The sequence below is a fragment of the Homo sapiens genome, chromosome 5 (genome assembly GCF_000001405.40).
Source record: "Homo sapiens chromosome 5, GRCh38.p14 Primary Assembly".
NCBI classification, from domain to species: domain Eukaryota; kingdom Metazoa; phylum Chordata; class Mammalia; order Primates; family Hominidae; genus Homo; species Homo sapiens.
Window position 1 is genome coordinate 104,816,994 of NC_000005.10, and position 4,991 is coordinate 104,821,984.

The window sequence follows — 4,991 nt, forward strand, 5'->3', positions numbered from 1 at the left end:
AGCAAATTGATAAAGAGTGGTATAGAAACATAATAAATTTAGTATAAAGAAGGCTACGAACTAGAATTTTTAAATCTTCATGGCAAAATAAAACAGGAATAGTGTTTTAATTTTTTTCATAACTTTCAATAAGTTGTTTTACAATTATGATTTCTATATGAGGTGCTTTATTTTAGAGCATTTTTGATTCTTATGGTTGGAAATGGATTAAAACTTTAAATAATATTTAGGGTGTACCATCTTCTTATCTCAGCTGCTTGCTGGGCATGCCGTCTGAATACTCATTATGACTTGGCAGTTACCCACTGACTGCAAGTTCAGATTTATGAGGAGGCAACAATCCAGCTCTGTTTGTTTGCCTTTGGTTCAGCAGTCTGTTCCTGTGGTGATTTCCACATGGCATACATGCAGGAAGGTCAAGATCATCTTGATCCAGGGATTTAGAGTCTAAAATATTTATAAGAAAAAAAAAACCCACAATTCATAGTCCTTAGAGAAATACAAGACATAGCATTATTTGGAAGATGTTGTCCTAAAATAATTAAATTCTTATTCAAAGCAAAGCTATTAATCATTGCAGAAAATATACACCATGAAGATTAGAAGCTTGCCTATAGGTGTCACTGCTATGAGTATATAAAAAAATATGGTTACTCAGAAAGACATTATACTTCCAAAATATTTTAAAATATAAAAATAGATTGTAGGCAAGTCTAATTAATTGTATTATTATAAAGAAGCAAATAATGTGCATGCATAGAAATGATGGGTTTACTTTATGTGGAAAACAGAATACAACCAATATAAAGAATGGGGGCAACTGTGGATGAGTTAAGATGGAAAGCTCATCCATAGCATCTGAACCATCTGACAGCCATTCAGTATCTCTAGGTTGCCGGTTGTATTTGGGACTTGCCAAGAAGCCAGATGCTCTCATGGCTTTCCATCATATAGTAATTGCTCTCCAAAGAACAAAAAAGTATAAATGTGAGAATAATGTTATTTTACTACATGTTTGAAATATTTTTAGTTTTAGTAAATTCTGATATAAATTAAAATACTTAATAACAATATATTTTTTAAAAGTTAAACCTATATATATTTCCAAGACATGAATCTCCTATAGAGTCTTCAACATTTTGAAGTAAATAGGTGAAGGAAAATGGCCTAGGATATCAATACAATCTGTGGATTTACATTCATAAAATTTTCTAAGGGAGCTGAGAAGAGGCTTAATGTTACAGAGGTGAAGAATAATGGCACCATGTATTCAATGTTAACTTCATAAATGTTTATTTTTTGAATGAATGAATCTTAACTGAGATGACAAACACAATTCGAACTGTTATCTCCACCACAGAAAGGGACTTTAGAATGGAAACTGGAACCTTGATATTTTCCACAATATAAAGTTAAGTTTGCTATGGGTGTGGGAATGAGGATAAGAAAGGAAACTGAGGCTAGGTGGAGCATCCTGACAGGTCCAAAGTGATGTAGTAAGGAGGTATTTTGTCACCACTGGCCAGTGGACCACTTTTATTTCCTGAAACATTTCATACAAAATTTGCCTCTCTGAATACCTGATATTTTTGGCTCCTTACTTAGTTTCTCTCTTTCTCTCTTACACACACACACACACACACACACAAAATACACACACACACTTTTCTGTCTATCTACTCAGCTCACTCCTCAGTATAAGCTCCGTGTCAATCCAGTTTTAGGCAAAAGTTAGTGAGGATACACTTACGCATTTAAGAACTGTCATAAATTTGGGAATTAAACTGACAATACACTCTAAGCAAATTCCTCCTCCTCACAAACAACAGCAACTCACATGCAAGCTTCTGTACAAAATTAGTGGGCTCTCTAACCTAAAAGACCACAGAGATGTCCCTTATATTTTGGACTAGATAAGAATCATAGGTCTTTAGCACAAGAAAAGGGGAAAGGCATTCCCAAAGCATAACCAAATGTGAGTTTCTTGCCAAGGCGTCAGATGGGTGGCTCAGTGTAGGTTAAAGATATTCATCAAGTAGGGGGTACAGTATCCATGTCAGAATGTATGATCAGTATATATGCATCTCTGTTAGTACTATAATACACACTTTCCTTGTTTCTTATGAATACTTGCATGCCTGTATTTTGATATTACTGCTAATTTTTATTTAAATTGCAATTGAAGTACAAGGAAAAGCGTTTGCATTTGAGCACTTGAGTCATTTAATACTGGACAGGATATCGTCATATATTTTAAGAGTGATGTAAAATTATTGCATAAGGGAATAAAAGTTTTCACTGAGGTCTAGAAATACTCAGTGAAAAGTCTCTGGCATGTACCAAATAATAGATGTTATTAATTTTTAGATGTTATTTTTAATTTTTATAAAAATAAGAGGTAACATAGCATTTTAGAAGGGTATATAATCCATACTAAAAAAATGAGCTTCCAATTCTGGCCATAAAGTTTTTATTAAATATAACAATTCTCACCAAGGATTGATACATGATTAAATGTAAAACTATATTTTAAATGTTTTAGAAACAAAATGCAGTACGCATAAGTACTACTTATAGCTAAAAAGTCACAATCTCTCTGATTTATTTTTCTTGTCTGTAAAGCAGATCTGAAAAATCTCTAACCCTTGGCTTACATTTTATATTCTTCCAAAATACTATTTTTATTTTTCTTAATTGTAAAAAAGTTCACAGGACTTTAGAAAAATATAAATAATATAGCAACAAATAACAAATAAATAATCATGTTTATTCCATCCAGAACTAATCCCTGTACCTTTTTGGTAGTCACATGTTCAGATCTCTCTCTCTGTATCCACAGATTGAAATACTGTTCCCAAGTATTACTCTGCCCTTCATTCCTATGTAAGTCAAGTTGTCATGTCATTTGCAGCTTCTCCTGTGGGTGAGCATACACGGTTGCCTCATTGACATTTTGTTTATCCAAGAGACTTGCTTTGGCCAATGGTGTGTGGATGGACATTATGTACACCTTGTCTGTACATAATAGTGTTGAAGCATTGTGTATTTTCTGCCTGCTCTCTTGCTCTTTTCCCTATTCAACTAGAAACGAATATCTGATATAGCAGCCTCTTTTTCATGTTAGGTCCCAGAGTCCTGGAATGAGAAGAAAATCGAATAGAAATCAATAGAACTCATGCTATACAGAATTCTAAGATGGTTCCCATAACCTTTACCCCTGAGGTTACTCCCATAAATATGTTATGGTACAAGGTGAAGGGATTTTGAAGACAAAATGGTTTCTAATCAATTGACTTTAAGATAGGCAAGTTATCCAGAAAGACCTGACCTAATCATATAAGTTCTTCAAAAGTAGAGAGATTTTTTGTTGTTGTTGTTATTCTGACATGGTAGAAGAAGAAAACAGAGAGATTCAACTTGTGAAAGAAATTCAATGTAAAGAAGCTTCCCTACTGCTGAGGTGGAAGAGGCCACAGAGCAAGAAGCTGAGAGCAGCCTCTTGGAGATGAGAGTGGTCCTGGCTAGAAAGCCAGCAAGAAAAAGGGGACTTCAGCCCTACAACTCTAAGGAACCAAATTCTACCAAAAACCTGCATGAACTTGGAAGCAGATTGTTTTACTGAGCTTCCAGATTAGAACCTAAACTGGACAGGACCTGGCCTAAGCAGAGAACACATCTGAGCAACCTTGAGCCACGTATGAACACATTTGTGACCTATAGAACTGTGAGATGATAAATAAATGTGGTTTTAAGGTACTGCAGTGGTGATATTTGTTACTCGGTAAAAAGTAATAAAAAAGAAAATACAGAGCTACAGCAACCAGCCCACTGCCACCAACACAAAACATAAATAAGAATATTGTAATAAACATGAGGGCTAGTTTGTTACTTCAAAGACCCGATTAATGTATCTTGAAATCACACACAAACACACACACAGTGCTTTAGTGCCATTGTATAAATTGTATCATATTGAAAATACTTCTTTATCTTTTAACTTATTTAATGCTTTGCAATTTCACTTATAAGCAAGTAAATGTGGAAATGTTTTATGCCAATTAAAGTGTACCCACAATACCACTTCTATTGGCTGTGTGGTTTTACATTGTGTGGAAGTACAATACACTATTTTCTTTAAACAAACACTGCTTTTAAAAAAAATCCTATTGAAGGAAGTTTTAGGTTGTACAACTCTTCATGGTTCAAGAAGAGCCAACATCTTTTGGTATAGATAATATTTTCACACTTGTGTCCTTCAGAATGATCCTACTAATATATAAACTTTAAATTACGTTATTGTAATCCTTTTGTTTAAAATTGTTACAACTTTACCATTTTTACACATATACACATCTTTTTGTACCTTTGGAAGTTTATAAAGTCAAATGTTTCTAGATATCTTTCATTTTGTTTTCTAAATTGATTGTCCATCATCTTAATGCATAATTGAAAAAAATATAAATTTCAAGAAATAATGTTATTCTAGTAGTCATTCTTTTTTGTACCGTCTACATTTTTCCATTGGTATTTCAAACAGTACTTGGAAAATCCAAAATTTAAAGCCAGAGCAGCTGTTCAGCAAATGTTCACAGAAGCCAACAGGCTAGTGTGCTCTCAATAGGTTTGTGTAACAAATAACTGCAAAGTTGTTTCTGCATAAATGAGAAGTTCATGGCCAACTAGGAAGTTTACATGTGTAATTTAGGTCTAGCCCTGGAAAAAAATGGCTTAGAATGTGCAAATCTGTTGTATATAGTGAGGCAAAGTCAGGATAACCATGGAGGCAATGATGAGTTCAGAACATTTTTCATCTGGATAATTTAAGGTACTGGCTTGAGTTCAACATCATTAATTACCATTTTCCTCAGTAAATTGTTTACAGTTCCTTTGAGGCAAATATTATTTTCTCTGTTCAAATCTTATGAGCCTGATTAGAGTACACTAAGCTGCCTTTTTTCTCTGTACAGTGGATGTCTACATACCATAATGTT

The 4,991-nt window shown here is 33.7% G+C and overlaps 1 annotated feature.

Moving 5' to 3' along the window:
- Positions 1,360 to 1,529: an enhancer, noted in NCBI's record as "experimental_80715 CRE fragment used in MPRA reporter constructs". NCBI's record gives its function as "activates a minimal promoter by MPRAs in K562 erythroleukemia cells, with activity observed for both the introgressed and non-introgressed 5:104154139 variant alleles {active_cell/tissue: K562}" and the evidence as "EXISTENCE:reporter gene assay evidence [ECO:0000049][PMID:34662402]".